Source organism: Homo sapiens, chromosome 10, assembly GCF_000001405.40.
Source record: "Homo sapiens chromosome 10, GRCh38.p14 Primary Assembly".
NCBI lineage: Eukaryota > Metazoa > Chordata > Mammalia > Primates > Hominidae > Homo > Homo sapiens.
The window spans coordinates 34,381,458-34,404,281 of NC_000010.11; the positions used below are offsets into that span (position 1 = coordinate 34,381,458).

Here is a 22,824-nt window from a genome sequence, read left to right on the forward strand (position 1 = left end):
TGGGTGAAAATCATAAAGTCAAGTCCAATAGTTTGCACTCAACTTTGAAGGAGGCAAACTGCAAGAACATGCTCTCTATACAGAGATCCACTGTATACAGGAAGGGTACTAAAATACATAATGGATGGAAGATGTATGAAGAATCGGCAATCGACATCATGACTTCCACATCACCATAAGAAAGAGAAGCAGGCCTGGACATGGTGGCTCACTTCCATAATCCCAGCACTTTGGGAAGCCGAGGTAGAAGGACTACTTGAGGCCAGGAGTTCCAGATCAACCTGGGCAACATGGCAAGACTCCAACACAACAAAAAATTTGTAAATGAGATGGGCATGGCGGCATGTGCCTCTAGTCACAGCACTTGGAAGGCTGACATGGGGTGTTGCGGGCTACGGTGAGCTATGACTGCACCACTGCACTGTAGCCTGGGCAACAAAGAAAGGCCCTGTCTCAAAAAAAAAAAAAAAAAAAAAAAAAAAAAGAAAGAAAAAGAAAAGAGAGGAAAAGAAAAGAAAAAAAAGAAAGGGAAGTAATGCAATAATACAAGAAAACAAAAGACAAGAGTCAATGGCCTGGCTTCTCAGCAACCTACTATAAACTCCTGGCAGCCTCAAACAAATTGGTCCCTCCCCACATCAAATACTGAGATTGACGTGCACTACCTCTAAAGTCCTCCTTGAGGGCTGGACTTATACAGCAAATGGGGCAGTCAAAATGGTCAAATCCTTACTATTGTTCTGCATTTGATATTAATGTCCTGAAGCCATTTTCTTTCACAATCAAAAATTTTACTACAGTAACTGCTATCTTCTTCTCATAGACATAGTCTTATTCTCTGCACTTTTACATTTTAATTTCTACAGAGCAAAATAAACCTGAGACATATAAGAAATACAATTTGAAATATGTTAAAAGGTAAGTAACTTTAAAAAATCTATCAGTTCTTTCACAAAATAATTAGATAAGACTCAGGGTGCTTTGGGTTAGTAGGTTGACTTTTAAAATAAATTCCATTTCTACCCTTGTGTGTTGCTGCTAAGAAAAGAAATTCCACAAAACAAAAACAGGATAGGTCGTACCTTTCTTAAGCTGGATATTAAGCCTCTTGCCTATTTTTTTGGTGTTATAACCACTGCTTACAGTCGTACTAAATACATTCTGAGGTGCCGAGGCTGGAGCGGATGGTGGTTTTCCCGAGGGGTGTGCGCTATGAGGTAGTCTTGAGTGAGAGTCTATCTGCTCAGGCGGGTGGTTCAGTCGGGGTGCTCTCTGCACCGTGTGAAGCCCTGCACTGTTCACACTCCTGTTGTCAATATACTGGCTGTCAGGGCTAAAACGGCTTGAATAGTAATTGTTCTTCTCACTTTGGGATAGTTGTTCATACTGCTCTTTATTTGCTGCAGGAACCACATGGAACCAAATGATGGGTGTACGCATGGCTTGGCGAAACATATGTTGTGCTCTGGGTTTGAGAAAGAATAGAAAATTAGCAAATTAAGACTGGCAGACTAGAAGATATTATGAGCTTAATTAAGTTTACTAATTAAGCAATAAGAACTGACAGGCTGTTGAAATTGAAAAGCAAAATTCTAATAACCCATTTATCAATCAAGTTTGCAGCTCTGATCTATCAATAGCTGTTTCTTCAAATATAAATTTCTCATTCTCTCAATAAAAATAGAAAAATTATCTACAACTACAGATAAAATTCTGTCCTCTCAACTGTAAATCATTAAACATGTTTTAAGTATAACAAGTATTATAATTTCAATAATAGAAACCAAATGGAACATTCTCTCTACAACATTGTCTAATACAACTTGTAGACATTACAAAATACTTCAATTTAAGTTTTCAAAGAAAGACAGAGCTTTATAATTATATTTAGAATATTGGATTGGGTTAGATGTGTATTTAAAATTTTTAAAATACACACACACACACACACACACTTAGAAGACTATAGAAAGTAACTATTAATTATTTATTAAGTTGGTATATGTAAAAATCTCAAGAACAGCAATCCAGGCTCAATAATTCAAAATGTTGACAGCTGTGGGTCACAGTGCACCCATACAACCAGCCTGGGAAGCAGCTCTTTCTCATGCTGGTTCCCTGGTCAGGACCTCAAGTTCTTAAGAGTTCTGTTTGCTCCTGCCTTGTTTTATAAGAACTGGCCAACTGTTATGTTTTTCATTGACTAAGGGCCTGAATCAAGATAAAGTGTATCTGAATACAACCCAATATTGTATCTGAATACAACCCAAGATAAAGTGTATCTGAATACAACCTCAAGCAGATACAAACAGCTTTATCTGCTTGTTTGTATCTAGAGAAACTGTGTGCAGCAAAGGTGGACGGGTGAGTTAAAGTATGATAAAAATGGGCACACTGTCAATTTTCCAAAAGGAGAGGAACCAGCAAAATTGTAAAGTTGAAATGGGGGCCATAATACTTAAGAAGAGCTATATCCATCAGAGGACATTTTGAAATATAGTCTAATGGTATTAATTACTGAGTATGTTTAAATTTTTAAAAGCTAATGGCAGAAAATATTCCTCTCCAGTATACAGACTGAGATCACAGACATGTTTGAAGCATTTCAACTGACTGCACTCTGTCATGCCTAATGCAAGTAAGAACAGAAGTGCAGCGAGCACACACTTACTGTTCAAATCTTCTATTTCGAAGGTCGCCATCATTAATCCTGACAATGCAATCATTCTCACGAAAAAGATTTTCATGTTCAGCTTTACCACCTTTCTCCAATCGTTTTACTAATAACCCCAGGGTTCTGGAACATTAAGAATGCAAATGATTACACATGTAATATCTCCACCATGCACACTGCCTTACCACTTTAATGCTGTTATTATATTTACAAAGATGTCCTTACAAAGGAGCATGTTAAAATGACTATTCATACATTTTTAAATGACAGACAAAAACCACAACGTTAAAATGACATGTAAAAATGCATCCCTTCCATAAATGTAAAAAATCAGTTTCTGGCTGGTCAGTATTATGTTTCTAGAACAAGCTATAACACTCTCTCTGTTTACAAATGCCCCAAACAGAGCCCGCCTAATGGTTGAGTGGGTATTGCAGTGTGGAGGATGGATAAGCATGTATTTTTGAATGGCTTGGGCAATTTTCTGTTTTAAGCCAGCTGGCACGCTAGCTTAAAAGACGACTGCAACTCCCATCTTTCTGTGAAAGTAAAGGTAATGAGGAAAAGCTAACCTCATTGCACTGCAGGTTTGAGAATGATAATAGGAAAGATTTCAGGAATAAAGGAGTTTCCATGCTTTGCATTTGAATTTGATAGTGCTTAGTATTGTGAATTTCAAAACCTGTCAGGTCTCCCAAAAGTAAGTCATTTATTGTCAATATTCCCATTTGGAAAAACAAATGACCCAACAGAAAAACGTCAGTGAGAGGTTCAAATAATGCCAATCACCATTCATCTCTTCCACATATGTACTCACTCAGGTTGAAAGAAAAGTGTGAATGACCTTTGAGAGACCCCCTACTTGCTCTAGAACACTAACTTCATAACTGACAGGACATTCTATACAGACTGGGACAAATAAGAAATACTTCTTTAAATCACAGTATAAGCAACAGGGGTCTTAACCTAGCTCTGATTGCTGTTATTTTTATTTTTTTAGTCTTATTTTATTCTTTTTTGAGATGGAGTTTCGTTCTTGTCGTCCAGGCTGTAGTGCAATAGCATGATCTTGGTTCATTGCAACCTCCACCACCTGGGTTCAAGCGATTCTCCTGCCTCAGCCTCCTGAGTAGCTGGGATCACAGGCATGCGCCACCATGCCCAGCTAATTTTTTTGTATTTTTAGTAGAGCTGGGGTTTCACCATGTTGGCTAGGCTGGTCTCAAACTCCTGACCTCAGGTAATCCACCCGCCTCAGCCTCCCAAAGTGCTGGGATTACAGGCATGAGCCACTGTTAATTACTTGATGGCTGGCATAAATTTTGTATCATGATATTAAAATTTTTATATGAACTTAGTCTTTTTACTTCCAAAATTTGTATTTTCTTTCATAATCCTAATAAAGAGACAAAAATGCCTACACAGGCACTAAAATTGAGAATCCAGTATAAATTAAAATTGAAGACACCCTAATTTTCAAATAATGTCTAAATGATTTCCAAGAGAATTACAACTTGCAGTCATCTGTGTATGTTTTCCAGTAGAAATATACCAAAATAGATAGCTGCTGCTTCTATACTTTTCCAGTAATTGTTGTATCTGTTCCATGGGCATTTATCATATTCTTCTCTTATATACATACCTTATCTCTATTAGTGGACTATAAGCTCCTAGCAGACAGAGAACATAAGATTCAGCAGTTCAAGCACTGAACTAGTAGTAAGGTCTTGATAAATGACAACTGAATGAAGGCATGATTGAGGTTAGCTGAGGCAAACAAGTCTATTTCTATAAGCTTTTTGCAAAATAGAATACAAGTGAATAGAATTTAGATTCAGATTCTTTCTTCATGAAAGTATCATTTCTACTAAAGATATGATGAAACTGAAATAAATTAAACTCAGACAAAAGTCCTATTTCACTTGTAATTTTGCAGTTTAACATTTTTACGATATTAGTAAGGTCAACGATTAATTTCATTCTAACTTTTATTAATAAATATAATAAGGTGGCATTATACTAGAGTGAAGCCTATCAGCTTGCAAGAATTGTAATTTTAGCGTTGAGAATCAGCACCTACTAGTGTATGAGTCTAAAAATATTAGTGACTAGTAAAAACAATATTATGTAGATAATATTTAGTTACTTATTATCATTTATTGCAGCTATATAAAGACATAAAATTATCTCAACTCAAAGGTAAGAATAAAGTACACTGATTTATCTTCAGGAGCAACTTAACTCTCAGTTCATATTTGGGAGAAAGAGATTCCATAATATGCCAAACCAAAAATGAAGTTATTGTTTAAATGTGATCATGTCCATAATTTATCTCCCTAGGATTCCCTATTGTTTGTTTCTATCTGCAACTGAACAAAGTGTTCTATCATAGGAATCAAAGGAATTATTGGCTGGGCACAGTGGTTCACGCCTGTAATCCCAGCACTTTGGAAGGCTGAGGCAGGCAGATCACCTGAGGTCAGGAGTTCAATACCAGACTGACCAATATGGAGAAACCCCCTCTCTACTAAAAGTATAAAATTAGCTTGGCATGGTGGCGGGCACCTGTAATCCCAGCTACTTGGGAGGCTGAGGCAGGAGAATCGCTTGAACCCAGGAGGCAGAGGTTGCGGTGAGCCGAGATCGCGCCACTGCACTCCAGCCTGGGCAACGCAAAACTCCGTCCAAAAAAAAAAAAAAAAGAATTATTAAGATATATCTATGATTCCGATGAATGAGGAAGATTAATACAAGAAATTAAATTAAATCACAGTTACTGGTACCACTAGAACATGCAGAAGATATCTGACCACTTCAGTTTCAAAGAACATCTTGAAGGAAACGATGTCTCAGTCACCCACAGGTAATCATAACAGAACCACATGTGAGGTGCCACAGCTGTAGTTAAAAGCCACCACTATAAACCAGACACACTTTGGAATGTGTATGCTTTCAGTCCTTGCAATAAAAATATGCCCTACCAAGACTCACTCCAGTTAATGAGTTTTTAATTGGTGAAATCATAAGCGATTTCCCAATATGACTACAATATTACTGCAAATGTAAGTGACTAACAATTAGTATGTTTTTATGTATTATATTTTGTGTAATCTAAAATAGTCCATAGAAAATTTTTACAAAAAATATATATATAAACGGTCTTCAATGGAAATTACTTAGCAGTTAATTAGCACCGATCATTTATTTAAATTTATGAAACTATCTTGGATACATCCTTTCAGTATTTATGACAACTTAAAACAGTGTAACTTATAAATCCTTTCACTTTAATTTTTTTTGAGACAGAATCTTGCTCTGTCACCCAGGCTGGAGGTATACTGGGCTCAATCACAGCTCCCTGCAAGCTCAAACCCCGGGGCTCAAGCAATCCTCCTGCCTCAGCCTCCTGAGTAGCTGGGATTAGAGGTGTGTGCCACGACCCCTGGCTAGTTTGTTTGTTTGTTTTGTAGACTTGGGTTCTTACTATGTTGCCCAGGCTGGTCTTGAACTCCTGGACTTGGCCTCCCAAAAGTATTGGGATTACAGGCTTGAGCCACTGTGCCAGCTGAAATCTGCTCTTTAATTCTAGAAGTAACATCAATAATTTTTTTCAGATAAGTAGATGAACAGATTTATATTCATCTCATAATTTTTCAGTTTTAAACCTATGTGTTTTTTTTCTGGTAATCATTCTAGACTAATAATCCAAAGTAGAAAAGCATGTAATGTTCCATTTCTTGAATGGTTGTCTTTCTAAATAAGTCCTCATCAATGGCCAAATGCATTAGCAATCCTAACATACAGTAGAAATTCTACAAATCATAAATACACCACACACGTATAGAAACTATAATGGAAATTTATTAACTGAGGCTTTAGCAACCAACATTGTTATAAGTCATGAAAATCTCAGATCTCAGATTCCTTTTACTCAGTACAAGAGACCTGATGGGGGGCTGGGAGATAGAGGGTGGAAGAAGACTGCAGAAGAGAAAGAACATCACCCTGACTGACACAGCAAGAGATGAGGGAATCAAGGGAACAGACTGAATTAAGGTGAAGTTAGTAGCCTGCTGATTTCTAAGTACTTAACCACACTATTAGAATCATTCTCTCAAAAAGAATGGATTAATTTAAAAGGAAAGTGGTACAATCTGCAAAATTATCTCATTTACTCCACTAGGTGAAAATGATTGCAAAGGAATGGGAATGAACTATCAAAAGAAAAAAAAGTCACAAGAAAATCCAACTGATAACAGCTAGACTGAGAATGAAAAGAACCTCCGAAGGAAATCAAAAGTAGTAAGAAGAGACACTTTCCTGAAAAATGTGTGCTCGCGAGCAGATACATTTCCATAGCCCTCATTTGCAACTTAAAGCTGTATCAAACAATATAATTAAAAACAAATTTTAGGGATATATTTTGCAAACTCAACTAGAAATCAGAATTTGTTCTAAAGTAATAAAGAACCAACTGCCTATGGTATGGCTGCTGCAACAGTTTTATTAGAGAAAGTAATCAAAGCAAATGAAGTTCTAAACATTTTGGCACGTCAGTGTGCTGGTAGAGAGAACAGTGTTCCTTCTTGGCAGCTAATACCAGAATTCCTTATTGGGTCAACCATGTTCCATCCTAAGAAGAAACCACTTTGCAAAAAATAAAAGAGGTAGGTGTCAGGAAAGGAGGCATTGGAGTAAGCTCTGTTTGGGGAATGGTTCCAAGAGCAGAACAACCCCAGATTTGTTATGCTAGGACAAAAGACATAAGAGAAAAGAGTTGGGCATTTATTAGTGGGGTGGCGCAGATTTAAGAAGAAATGATTATAGGGTTTAGGGTTATGTGAAACAGAACCTCCTCTACCTTCCTTATGAATCTAAGATAAACCCTACTTGGCTTTATGCTTTTCAAGCAAATGGATTTTTCCTGATGGAGCTGAAACATCCCCAAATCTATTCCTCTTCTAGTCTCCTATATTTTCTTCAAAATTTGAAAAGAAGAAAACACTAGATCCGCTGCATACAAATATCACTTCTGAATAATTTTCCTAATACAAAAGTATGTTACATGCATATTTCTTTCAAGACTTCGTTTTTGAACAATGTTTCTTAAAAAAAAAAAAAAAAAAAAAAAAAAGACAAGCTAGGGTACAGTAGCACAAAGCGAGCCATTGAAATGCTGCTTCTTTGTACATGATTTTGGATGCATAATTAGAATTTAACTACTTAGATTATATTAAGGATTGCACCACTACATTTTTACAAGGTTCATTAGCCTAATTATACACTTAATTAAAACAAACGCAGTCACACATGTTAACATTTTCAATTCTAAGTATAAATTACAACCAATGATAAAACTGAAAATAAGTAACAAATGTTTTATTGACATCCAAATTGGCTGAGTAAGTCTGAGTTTTGCGTTGATAATGTAAACTACCACAACTGCCACCCAGCTGTATGGAAATGATTATAATTCATCTTAATAAAGGTTGACACAGTATAAACATCACAACGGTAGGGAAGGCAGAATATGAGTGGGCAGAATAGGGTCTCATCAACAAGAACCGCTCAGCTCCCTGAGTACAGCCCATGGGGGGCCAGCAACTACCTACATGAGCCCAGAAAGTACTGCCACTGAAAGCATGGACACCAAAAGGAGAAAGTTTAAAGGAATGCCAAGTTAAAACTTTAAATCTTAATTTTTTTTTTAGAAAAACTTCAATGAATGAGATAAATCAGGCCAAAAAGGTAAATAAAAATGGAAAATTCCTTTAGATTACAGCAGAAATCACAGATGTCATATTGCTATATATAAAGAGACATGATTCATGTAAGTGTAAACTGCAACTTGTCTCTCTAAAACCAATGCGTATGTTATAGTTCTTTATTATAACAAATGAGTCTGCGGCTGAGAATGCACAATTGAAAACTTTCAGACAAAAGACTATTGATTCAGCAAATAAAGTTAAATTGCGTTTTTTTCAAAAGTTATTAAATTAAAATTGAGTACTCAAAAGTTCAAGAGCATATTTATTCTCAGCTAGTTTGTGAAGCTCAAATTGACTGTAATTCTTCATTAGCATATGTACCCAATTAACTAAACAAATGTGTATTGGGATTCTCAATTTTACGACATAATAGTAAATTTTCTCCCAGATTCATGATATAAGAGGAAAATGATCACTTTCTCTGATTGGGTAGACTAATCACTACCTACCTAGAATACCAAGCACCAGAATACCAAGCACCACTGGAGGGAATTTCAAGGCACATAACAAAAGATAAATTGAGTATAAAATCTCTTCTCATGATTTGATCATTCTTATTAGCTGCCACTGCCAAGGACCTTGCTAAATGATTTACATATATTTTCTTATTTAAACCATACAAAAGTCATGATTCCTATCCTTCATATGTAAGGAGTAGGGCTAAGTGAGGCTAACTTGCCCAAGGCCACACTACGTAAAAAATACTGAGCAAGGTATCCTTCCCCAGTCCTGACAATCCCCGTGCCAATAAAACGAGGACAACATAAGGTCAAGTCAGTCACTGACTGACACAGAGAGGTAATACAAAATTCCCAACTCCAAATCTGGGGAAAATAAATTGCGTTTTCAATACATAATAGAGCAAAAAATGATAAAGAATATCTTAGATGAACAAAAGGGTATAACAAACAATATAGTTTTTTTTGTGTGTGTACACATTTAGTTTTATTGTAACAAAGCAACTTGTACACTTTTAACGTTTAAAACTGAGCATCATCTTTCCTTTCCAGCGAAACAAAAAGAAAATTTAAAAATATACAGGAACAAAATTACAATAGAGAATGTCAATTCCAAATAAGATCCTACAGGTTCTGCTGACTCCCCCATTGAGTGGCAGGGCTCAAGTCATCATTAGGACAGAATTTATTTTAAAAGTGTCATCTTAAACTGCAAGGATGTCTGTCAAATATCACAATTAAACATGCCAAAGGAGAAGCCATGTTGTCAAAATGCCCACTTAACCCACCCAAACATCTCAAACCCACCCTTTGCTGACCTTCTATAACCTCATTTTTTTTTTAGTTTTTTTTTTCTTCTTTTAAACAAGAGAAAGTAGACAGATACATGTTGGTAAATGCTAACTGTCCATATTCACATAGAGACACAGTGTACTCTCTGAGCCCAATATACAGAGAAAGGAGGAAAAAAGCTAGAATTCTATGCACTACTGCACAGGGGCCTAGCGCCCTCCAGCTTCCAGCAGAGCGAAGGGAGAAGGTTTTTCTTTTTTCCCACAGAGCTCGGTGGTGTTGATTCCATACAGTTTTTGTTCAGACAGGAAGGGATAAAAATGACAAACAATATAATTATAATCATGTAAATCTTAGTTGAGGGGAGAGTGAAGCTCAGATTCTGCTGAATTAAATGGATGAGTATGGTATGTCTCAAGACCATCCAAAGATGTTTGACTACTAGTCTTGTAGACAGAGAAACATCAGTTTATATTTGAGGGGGAAATTATTCAAGACATGAATGCAGGATGTAAAAAACAAACTTTTATATTTCAGTGATTTTCTGAATATAGATTAATTACAAAATACAATCTGCATATAGATTATTTTAACCACCTTCTAATTAATCTATATTCAGGTTTAAATAGAATGCAAATAATAATACTTATGAAATACATATTTTCCAACAGGGTCACTTTTATTTCAACTCAAAAACGCAAAACATTAAAAATATTCTCCTAGTGGCCAGAAGTGATGGCTCACACCTGTAATCCCAGCACTTCGGGAGGCCGAGGTGGGTGGATCACTTGAGCTCAGGAGTTCCAGATCAGCCTAGGCAACATGGGGAGACCCCACCTTTACCAAAAATACAAAAAATTAGCCAGGCATAGTGGTGTGTGCCTGTGGTCGCAGCTACTAGGGAGGCTGAGGTGGGAGGATCACTTGAGCCTGGAGATCCTGCCACCGTACTCCAGCCTGGGTGACAGAGTGAGACCCTGTCTCAAAAAATATAAAGAAAGAAAGAAAGTAAAAAAAAGAATAAATCAATTTTAAAAATAAAAAATATTCTCTTAGAGATGTGATTTCATTTTTCAGCTTCATGATGGAATTTATGGACAATAATGTAACTAAGCAAATAAATAAAGAGGGGAAAAGTCATAAAAATAAACTTTAACACAGAAATTGAAGAAGCTTTTTCCAAAGGATGTTGACACTTCACCTGATATTCTGAATATTGTATTGAAGATAAACAGATGAAAAAAATTATTTGGGATAAAAATCAAAGTTAATCAGACAAATCAAATGATGGCAAATCTGTAAAAAGTAAGTTGAGAATAAATTAATAAATAAGATATCTGCCAACATGAGTCAGTAGCAGAAAGCCAGACCCACACCCAGAGTCCCTTCATTTCCCTCACCACCATCTTCACAGGGCCTGATTTTCTAACTGTGAAACTTTAGATTTTTCCTTAAGTCTTATGATTGACAAGTAGATGTTAAGAAGGATTGTTCTGTGAGTACATACTACTAATGAGAGTATGGTAAATGGGCTTATATGGTTTTTTTCAACTTCCCTTCTTCCTGAGAATCAAGGACATGCACTGCTGGGAATTAATATGTAGTTACAACAAAAGAGGCTTTCTTATCAAACAGTAAGTGGAAATCAAAATCCTGTACACTCTTGTCCCCCAAAGATATGAATAGAAAACAGAGGTGAAGAAGTTTTAGACATGAAAAATACTAGAATGTAAAACCATCATGGCAGCCATTTTTATTTGTTTGGTTCCCTAGGGCAAGGGCTGACAACTGCAGCCTATGAGTCAATTCAGCCAGCAATATGTTTTTGTAAATGAAGCTTTGTTTATATCTTGTCAATGGTTGCTTTCATGCTACAATGGCAGATTTTCTGGGCCATGATGCCTAAAATACTGATTATCTGACCCTTTACAGAAAGTTTGTGAATCTTTGATCTGAGATATCAAAGGCACCAAAAATGCTAACTAGTAGATACTAGATCTTAAAAAAAAAAAAAAAGTGTATATAAACACCAACATACAATTACTATTTTCACAAGGAAAAGTAATGTGAAACAAATTTAAGTGCCACAGACTTAAGAATAAAGGTAGATGTAAATAAGTGAGAAATGTCCATTATAGAAAAGATCCAGGCCAGGCAAGGTGGCTCATGCCCGTAATCCATGCACTTTGGGAGGACAAAGCTGGCAGATCACTTGAGCCCAAGAGTTTGAGACGAGACTGGGCAACATTGGGAAACCTCATGTCCACAAAAAATATAAAAAATTAGCCGGGCATGGAGGCACTTGCCTGTAGTCCCAGCTGCTTGGGAGGCTGAGGTGGAAAAATCACCTAAGCCCGGCAGGTTGAAGCTGCAGTGAGCCACTACTCTCCAGCCCGGGCAACAGAGTGAGAAGCTATCTCAAAAGGAAAAAAAAAAAAGATCCAGAGAAGAAAACTTTAGGCCAGGTACAGCCGCTCACACCTGTAATCCCAGCACTATGGGAGGCCAGGGTAGCAGGATCACTTGAGGCCAAGAGTTTGAGACCAGCCTAGGCAACAAAGCAAGACCCAGTTTCTACTTAATTAATTAATTTAAAATGTTTTAGCCATAATTGTTTTCCATAGGGGAAAAGATTTAGAGTATCTACTTTAAGTTAGATTATGAAGCCCAAGTAAGAATAGTAGTAATTTTTTTTTTTTTTTTTTTGAGACAGAGTCTTGCTCTGTCACCTGGGCTAGAGTGCAGTGGCGCGATCTCAGCTCACTGCAACCTCCACCTCCTGGGTTCAAGCAATTCTCCTGCCTCAGCCTTCTGAGTGGCTGGGATTACAGGCGCACATCACCACGCCCAGCTAATTTTTGTATTTTTAGTAGAGATGGGGCTTCACCATGTTGGCCAGGATGGACTCGATCTCTTGACTTCATGATCCGCCCGCCTCAGCCTCCCAAAGTGCTAGGATTAAGGTGTGAGCCACCGCGCCTGGCCTATGCCTCAGCCTCCAGAGTAGGTGGGACTACAGGTACCCATCACCACACCTGGCTAATGTTTGTATTTTTAGTATACATAGGGTTTCACCATGTTGGCCACGCTGGTCTCGCACTCCTGACCTCAGGTGATCTGCCCACCTTGGCCTCCCAAAGGTCTGGGATTACAGGCATGAGCCACCATGCCCGGCCTTATTTTGTTTTTGTTTAAGACAGGTTCTCACTCTGCCATGCCAAGCTGGAGTACAGTGGCATGATCATGGCTCACTGCAGCCCCACACTCCCAGATTCAAGTGATCCTCCCACCTCAGCCTCCCAAGTGGCTGGGACCATAGGTGTATGCCAGCACACTCGGCTAACTTTTGTATTTTTTGCAGAGACAAGGTTTTGCCATGTTGCCAAGACTGGACTTGAACTCCTGGCTTCAAGTGATCCTTCCACTTCAGCCTCCAAAAGTACTGGGATTACATGAATGAGCCATCATGTCCAGCCTCAAACACAAAATCTTATCATTTCATAGGTCCAGTCCCTATTTTAGCACACAATTTTATATGTTGCTTTTTATATACTTAACATTATATCATAATCATATATCTATTTCATGAGAAAGTGTCAGAAATACTTCTTAACCACCATCCAGGCCAGGATGTATCATTACCGTTTCTTTGTTAATATAGTAACACCATATCTAATATGGATAGTCATGGGTTCATTTGCTCCTGTGCTGATTACGCTTCACTAAGCAGTACCTATGGTCCTGTAGACCAATACCTACAACCAGGTTCTAGAAATATTAAAAAAGAAAAAAAAAAAAGCAAGGTTCTTCTGCCAAAGGTAATCACAATTATTTGGCATAACCTTCCTGAAAATAGTGGCATTTGTGGTTTAAATAAAGAGATTATCTTTCCTATTTGTTTTTGAGACAGAGTCTCACTCTGTCACCTAGGCTGGAGTGCAGTGGCGTGATCTTGGCTCACTGCAAACTCTATCTCCTGGGTTCAAGCAATTCTTGTGCCTCCGCCTCCCATGTAGCTGGGATTACAGGCACCTGCCACAATGCCCAGCTAATTTTTGTATTTTTCATAGAGACAGGGTTTCATCATGTTGGCCAGGCTGGTCTTGAACTCTTGACCTGAAGTGCTCCACCTGCCTAGACCTCCCAAAGTGCTAGGATTACAGGCGTGAGCCACTGCGCCCAGCCGATGGTTCTCATTTAAATCAGGAGGAAATGAAATGATATGGATGAAATAAAAATTGATTCCAAGGTAATGAAACGTTTTAGGTAAATGTTTTTCTACTAAGAAAATAATTTAAAAAAAGAAATCACCAAAGTAATGAAACCGTGAACGAATATAGATGAGGATCAGTTAACTTTATTTTTGAATAACATATACAAGGAAATAACTCAAGAAAAACATCATCGGCCGGGCGCGGTGGCTCACGCCTGTAATCCCAGCACTTTGGGAGGCCGAGGCGGGTGGATCATGAGGTCAGGAGATCGAGACCATCCTGGCTAACAAGGTGAAACCCCGTCTCTACTAAAAATACAAAAAATTAGCCGGGCGCGGTGGCGGGCGCCTGTAGTCCCAGCTACTCGGGAGGCTGAGGCAGGAGAATGGCGTGAACCCGGGAAGCGGAGCTTGCAGTGAGCCGAGATTGCGCCACTGCAGTCCGCAGTCCAACCTGGGCGACAGAGCGAGACTCCGTCTCAAAAAAAAAAAAAAAAAAAAAAAAGAAAAACATCATCATGGGGAAGATAATATTGTCTCTCTACCTATTTGTCTCTATTTCTACATATCAGCAGGTAGTCAACTAAGACAGGGGTTGGAGGACGAGCTAATTGTCATTAATGCCCCTGATTGAAAAACATTCAACCTAGTCTAAAAAATAGCTTTGAAAGTAAGCAGTGCAAGATTCTTATTTTAAAAAACTTAAGCCAGCCATGGTGGCTCACACCTGTAATCCCAGCACTTTGGGAGGCTGAGGCCGGCGGATCACTTGAGATCAAGTGTTCCAGATCAACCTGGCCAACGTGGTGAAACCCTGTCTCTGCTAAAAATTCAAAAACTAGCCAGGCATGGTAGCATATGCCTGTAGTCCCAGCTTCTAGGAAGGCTGATGCAGGAGAATTGCTTGAACCCGGGAAGCGGAGGTTGCAGTGAGCCAGGATCTCCAGCCTGTGTGACAGAGTGAGACTCCATCTCAAAAAAAACCAAAAAACAAACACAAAAAAACCAACAACAACAAAAAAAACTTCATCACACATCAGGTCACAATAAGATCTACATGGCTGTAAAAAACTCTCTAACGTTAACTTCACAAGCTTACATTACTATTTTCCTTAATGACATTTGATATTTGAGGTGGTCTGGGTTGTGTTCCTTCTCTTCAAAATATACAATTGGTATTCTGCATTATTCGTTAGATGCTCTGACTTTGAAAATCTAAATGAGAAAGCAATATTGACATGTATTTGTCACTTTTATAAAAGTAAGTATTCAGTAACTGTTATTCAATTAGTTATCCTCCAAAATTGAGAAGGCCCAAGAATGACTGGAGTTTTATATAAGGGAAGTTATCTTGGAAATTTCTACTTACATATCATGAATATATATTATTGTAGTCCTACTAGATATATGTGCAATTTCTTAACTTCACTTAATTTCTTCCTTCCTGCTATACTACATTGCTTAATTTACTCTTGCACAAGCCACCATGAAGTTGACACAGCTACCTTTACAAGCTATCATCACATTTAAAATCATCTTCCGCAACAAGCCATTTTCAGTTGCCTAATTCAGACTATTCTTCCCCTATCAGCTCACAGAGCACCTATTATATAACTATATCAACATTTATCACATAATTATAATTGTGTGATTTCTTGGCTATCACTCCGTCTAGACTGCAAATCTCTGGAGGAAGAACATATTCCGTTCATCTTTGTTTCCTAGCACCTAACACAGGGATTGTCACAACAGAAATGCTTGGAAAGGTTTCTTATGAAGTAACAGGAATCCATTTCCGAGCATTTCTGAGAATGAGGAAGGTGGGGATCTCTGGGTTCTTGGAGATTTGTATCTGTCAATCTGAACAGACCACCTACTTTTTCTCTCCCATTGTTAACCATCTGTGAGGAACCATGACTATCAATTCCACAAAGAAGCTTAACCATGCAACACAGGTATTGGGGAATCACAAACTATTTCTGTTCTGCTTCCATATGAAAATTGGTGATGCCTAAGAAGAGGTTATAAAGAATCTGTTTTTCTTAAATCTCTTTGTCTCTTTGAAAATCTCTGTGCACGACTTTCTTCATTAAGTGCCAAACTAATAGGGCTTAAAAATGACTCAGCTATAAAAGAACTTCTAGTTCTGCAAAGACATACTTGTTTTCTTGAATCTGTTTGGTGTATCAAAACTAAATGCCATGGTAACCAGAAACTGTGGTGGATTTTGTGAAATGCCTTCCTTTGACTTAATCTAGATAGTAAGTTTATTTTTCCATCTTACTCTCCATTTGCTTTAGGCTTTTCATCTGTTCACTTTACCCTAATATCCTTTCACAGTGAGGTAGAAAATACACAATAAACGACAGAAAATATAGTAACATGTAATTGAAATGCTGGCTCAAAGCTGGTACAGACACAATTAAATCTCATTTGTGATGAGTTATGTTTCACAGGCATTTTAAGACATATGCATATCGGGAAGCTATAATCCATGCATTTTACCTTATCTTTTTTTTCCTACTCCGGAAAGAAATGAAAACAAAATTTAACTTTTGAGGTAATTTAGAACTCAATTTCTTACACGAAATAAAGGCAAGGCCATGTTGAAAATAATATTGTTTAACTATAAGTTATTTGAAGAAATTTTAATGCTTCTCTAAAGTTAAAAAAAGAATTTTAAAGAGAATTAAAAAGTAAAAGCAGCCACAACTCTATGAATATAACACCACTTGAAAATTCAAGGTGAATGTTATACCTTGTTATGTAACACTACCATTCAAGCCTCATTCATACTCCAGCAGAGTTCTAAGTCAAGTTTCAGCTTTAGAACATTGCATGAACCATGAGAGATGAAATCTGAACTCACCACAGTTACTTACAAGTAACAAGAAAGTACTACCATTGTTCAAATACTCATTTAAAAAAATAAAATGCATAGTTTAATCCCACACATCTATCTTCTACAACACCCTAGATGCCTGTAATTACTTGACAACAGTTTAAACTATGTTCTACGGTCTCAGTCACTGCTATAAGTCTACCCTCCAACTTCCCCACTTTTTCGCACCATGTAAAGAAAGTTAAAATAAAAAGAAAAAAAATAAGGTGATAGCAATAAAAGAAATAAGTTAAAAATTAAAAAGCCAAAATAGGTCATTAGAGAGCAAGTAAGAGAAGATGCAATTAAATTAAACAAGTTAAACATGCACAAGTTCAGACTCATGGGAAAGGATGCGGTGCACCTCACTTGTCTGTGACAGAGGTCTGCCAAGCCTTTGTTGGAAAATCAATTCATACTATTTGAATACATTAAAACCAAAAATATCACAACAGTCCTTTCACACATAAAAAGGAACAGAATCAAGGAAACTGACATAACATTTGAAGTTTTTAAGGATGCATGTTCTGTAAAGTAATGAAGTTGAGATTAACAAACAGTACATGATTTTTAGACTCAAGGTTCAGAAATCTATGGCTTGCCTAATTTTTTAAAATTTCATATTAAAGGTTTTTAACAATAAAAAAACTCATAAAATTGAAGAACTAAACACAAATTTAAAGCTTAAATCAAATTTAAGTCATCTAGATAATTTTTATTGCATTAAGCTTTCCCAAAAAAAGTGCTTTTAAGCTCTCCTTAACGTTGCAAATTCATCTGGAGTTCTGACTTGAAAGTCCATCATCAATTTACAGCAAAGTAAAATGTTTGCTTGAGTGTGATGAACAATAAATTTATTAGGATAATTCAAATGCAGTTTCTTCACGTTCCTGCAAAACCTCTCTTCATCAGGCTAAGTGCTTTCTGTGATTATGACATATATATAGGAATGAAGGAGCAGTTGCCTCCAAATGAGAATGTTTCCTATTAAGCATATGCTAAGTCAACACCACTCTCTATCTGAGCATAAATGAAGATAAAACACTCTACATTATGATTCAATTAAAAACCTCCAAGATACGTTACCTGCCGCCTCGAGCACTGAAAGGCACTACGTGGATTCCCAGAGGCCCTCCATCGTTGGGGACTTCTACGAGCTTTACCATATCACTGTGAGACAATGATGAATGAGGGAGCATGAACGTGTACTGTAAACAAACCAAAACCAAAACAAAACAAAACAAAAAACTGCAACAACACAGACACACAATAAACAACAAAAGAGAACAGAACAAAAATCCCACCAAGTGCATAGGCATATATATACATATTCTGGAATATAAGCATGGTGATGAAGGCAACATTAAACACTACATACCTGAACACTAGTCTGATGGCATGGAGGGAGAGCAATCATCAGAGATAACTACATTAAAATGACACAGAACATTTCTCTTGGACCGACCCTATTCTTCTGTGTAATACAAGTTTATGTCTTTCAAGTAAAATCTTTAGACTTACACTGAAACTCTTCCATCCCAACACTCACGTCAAGGACTCTAAAGATTAACTGAACAAAGATGTTGCAGCTACCAAGGACTCTAAAGATTAACTGAATAAAGATGTTGCAGCTACAGAACACTTTCTAATTTACAAAGTGCTCTTTTATATGTCACATCATTAATCCTTCCAATAATCCAATGAGACCAAAGTTTTCACTCCTGTAAGTGACAGTCCAAGGGAGATCACCATTGTCCTTACTGCTCACTACTTCATGACAATTCAAAGTCACTATTTCCTAAACCGCTATAAGAGTGCTACAAGTGCAGCTTACAAAACTCCTTTCTCAAAGCCAACAGGCATCTACTGCAAATCAAATAATTTTCATAAAATTGCTCGAAATTAATTTTCTTTTTAGAAAGGGAGTCTTGCTGTGTTGCTCAGGCTGGCCTAGAACTCTTGTGCTCAAGCAATCTTTTCGCCCCAGTATTCTGAGTAGCTGGGACTACAGCTATGAAGCTATTTATATTATATGACATAACATGAAGTTACTTCTATTACAAAACTATTCTGCATAAGGAACATAACGTTACATAATGTATGGATTTGTCAAGTCTATGAATCTTTACTATTAATAAAATAAAGCCTGAGTTTAATGAAAATTTGTATAGACAATGTAATTTTCTAAACTATTTAAATGAGATTTTTCTTTCTTTGTAGATTTTTTCATATATACATATAACATCAGAGGTCTAAGCAGTATTTACCTAACAACCAATATTTGGAAACAGTACTTCAATTAAACATCTATTTTAAGCCAGCTGGAAAACAATCAATTATTACCAATGAATTTCACAAAGATCACAATATAATTTTATGTGATGGAAAATGCCAATTTTTCAATTATGTTTCTAATATAAAAACCTGAAGTTATCCTATGTACTATGAATGTCCTGCATAAAGACAGGAATATCAAGCAAATCAAAATTGAAAATATGTGCACAGATTTAATCACATGCACTAATTAAGACAACATAAAAATTCTGCCATACTGCCAAATGGTTAAATGGATTTTTTATTACTTTTTTTTTTTTACCAAATTTCATAAAATTCTATTTTGGATACTGATTATCCCATTTGAACACCTATCTAATCATTGGTTTGTAAGCTAAGAATAGCATAACTTCAATAAACTGATTTTATCCCACAGTCTAAACAGAACTATGGCATGGCAAGTACTTTACTAAATGTAAATACTCAGCGTGCTGGCTGCCATACATTCAAACAGCATCTGACTCTAGTGCCTGCTTAATCTCACTTCTCTTGGAAGACCAAGAAAAGACAGAATTAAGTACATAAATGTCAATGTCTATATCCCCAACTTTTGCCCAAAGTCAAAGAAAAAAATCCAGAATGACTGCCCTCCCTGCTCTAAGCTACCAAGGAAAGAAGTCCTGAGAATGCCTACCATTTACACATGTCAATATTTAAAATAATCAGAACACTGTGGAACAAACAGGAAATTTTTCTTTGTCCTTTTACACTTAAAATCATTTTCAAGGTCCCTAACCTAGGACCTCCCTTTTTCATTAAATATCTTGAAAGATTCTATTTCTTCAAACAACAATAAATACATATATTTACATGCACTATAATAATTAATGCTAACATGATCTAACTAGTTTTTCAAGTATGTCTGCAAATTTTTTTAATTTAGCAAAGTGAAGAACAAACACATGATCAAAATATTGACACACAAAGCAATCTGAAAAGAGTTACGGTGTTTACAGTGTTGTTAACATGACAAAAATCTTCAATCAAATACTATTTTATATTATAATTCAATAGTATTTGCCAGGGCATGAAACTCAGGACTGGTACACATGAACTTCCATGCTATACTGCTTACATTACATAATTAACTCAAGAGATGAAAGATGTTCTTTAGAAAAACAAATCAATGCACGGCATGTTTTTAACTAAGCACAAACATTCCTCATGCCATATGCTTTCAGAATACTTGCTGCAATTAATGATGCTACATGTATACTGCAAACTTAGTTGAAACCATCAGTAACTTACTCCAGAGAAAAGTTGGGTATATGCTCCAAACCCGTGTCAGCATGTCCAACAGGTTCAACACGACTGTTATCCTCTTCTGTCCCATCCTCATCCTAGAGGCAGCCAACACAAAGAAAAGTACACTCTGTGTTAGGTTTCTTGCTACAATGTGAAAGGAAACTGGATAAAATGGAAGTCTAATAGGCATTATGATCTTGGTAACTGTTTCCTCTAAGAAGGATGACCTTTAATGACAGGATCAGTGTGTGTTGTAAAAAGCTAAAATTGAAAACAAGAGTCTCATGAGATAGTGTATCCCAGAAGGTGAATAAGATATACTACTGTGATAAGGAAAGAAAACAAAAAAACAAAGAAAAAACTTATCTTTATGCTAATTTTCTTATCTGGTCATTTTTCATTTCTTTTCATGTATATTTTAGGAAGTAATTACATATTACTCCATTGTTACAATGTATTGATAAACAAATATACATGACATTGGAAATGCATGTCTGAAAACAGCTTCCTACTCAAAACAGTTACAACGATTATAAACCATAACCATTACCAAAAGCTTCAAAGTCATGTTTCTCAGTTCTTGATTCCTGCTAACACAGCTTGTCAAAAGGAACAGGCAGTGGTATAGTTCCAGATTTTACAGGCTTCATCCCGTAAAATTTCACATAAAGTTACCCTAAGCCAATCGACTGATTATTTAGAGGTATCTGTAAAGGTATTAAGGTCTTAGCCATAATGGACCACTTTTGTTTACTTCTGTGCATGAAGGACCAAACAAAAGGACAAGCTAAAGTAACAAAGTACTCAGCCCCCATCCTCCTATGCTTCCTTTGACAAAGGCAATATTTTGTACAAATTGCTCCAATGTGTTGCAGAAATTCAATAAGTTTGCTGGTGTTTACACATGTCAGTTTAGTGAAGTTATACTATTCTCAGCTTACAAACCAATGATTAGATAGGTGTTCAAATGGGATAATCAGTATTCAAAAAGGTGCATGTGGAATAAACGTGGTAGTTCACAAAAATAAATGAAAAGCCACCCAAGAATCTACCTTCATTTATAATCTCGGCCACTGTCTTTTCATTAAAGAGTTCACTATTATTAATAGTTAAAAGTTGGCTTTTCAAAATCATTTGAATAACGATAAAGATACCTGACTGAGATCAATGGACTTATTAGCCAGATTAGAACAGTTAAGAGATCCTCAGATTCTCCAAACACAATGATGGAGGCATAGTCTTTGGCACCTACTAGAAGCTCTGTAAATGTTTTGCTAATTAAAGTAAAATCATGCCTAGGAATCTCTGTGGTAATATGTTCCCCAAATGCAACTAAGTAAAATGTATTTAATCTGTTTCTTAGAGGTTTATATGTATAATTTATGTATACATATAATTTGTTAGGTTGATCTTTTCTATTACATAAATTTGACAATGGTGATTTTATTGTGAACTTTTTTCAACATAATTCATAGGTGCACACATTGGGAATTTACCAAGCCATCTATATTAGGACAGGAAGTCCAACACTGGAGAAAAATTTTATATTTTCAATCATGTTATTCCAGAGACTCACAGTAGAAACGTGTATGCCATCAATAGGAACAACAGATAAGCAAGAGTTATAGGTTCAAGATACAATGTCAAACAATATATTAAATCATTGAAGAGATAGTAAGAGACGGCAAAGCAGGCAGTAAGGCCCAACTGACATTTCCTTTGCGAATCTATGAGAAGTAGAAACTAAGGGCACCAAACTTTTCTGTGAGTCGTAGCTGTGCTCTGTGCTTTGTGGATGGTGGAGCTCTGCATGAAGCCAGGCTATTTGATTGATGATGCTGTGTCTTGAGAGGCTCTAATATGTACTTCTTAGTCATCTATCTCCTTTAAGCACCAGCACATAATACATTTCAAAGGTTAACCAACATCTTGAACGTGCCTGAGAACTGCACTTGGAATGTAAACACGAACTCCCAAAATCATGCTTTTCCAATGGGAGTGGGTGCAGGAAGGAGAGCAAATGTGATTTGTTTATAAACCAGATGTAGGACACAAAAATAATCTTACACATTACAGATCTTTTTTTCAGGATTCATTAATAATTTAAGGACTACTGAAATGCCACCAAGATGTATCACCACTTGAAACACCTATGTTGCACTGTGAAACAGCCACATAAATGAAATGCCCCAAACTACAGTGATAAAACAGTCACTGATAATTCACACATTGTTCCCACAGTGGCCATTATCAGGCACCAAAGAGCATGGAGAATATTATTTCATGAAGCTACATACAGTGTCCAGTTTGGATGGCAACATTCACTGCCCTGAGGCTGAGCTGCAGTTGCTGTGGAACCTCAACTTAGATTTTCCCAATATTTGGATGTGTAAATTATCAGCTCCTGTATGGTTTTATTCTGTTGTCTGGTACTTTTTCTTTCAAGCTGTGACTGAATG

The 22,824-nt window shown here is 36.7% G+C and overlaps 1 protein-coding gene across 11 annotated transcripts in view; it reads right to left on the bottom strand.

Moving 5' to 3' along the window:
* Positions 1-22,824, bottom strand: part of PARD3 (par-3 family cell polarity regulator) — a 705,736-nt gene that overhangs the window by 271,897 nt on the left and 411,015 nt on the right. For all 11 annotated transcript variants that reach the window (NM_001184790.2, NM_001184791.2, NM_001184789.2 and 8 more), the window contains 4 exons: positions 20,369-20,460; positions 17,873-17,956; positions 2,672-2,797; positions 1,083-1,465 (listed from right to left, as the gene is read on the bottom strand). In NM_001184790.2, the coding sequence (NP_001171719.1) occupies positions 1,083-1,465; positions 2,672-2,797; positions 17,873-17,956; positions 20,369-20,460 (685 nt within the window). The remainder of the gene's footprint in view (positions 1-1,082; positions 1,466-2,671; positions 2,798-17,872; positions 17,957-20,368; positions 20,461-22,824) is intronic.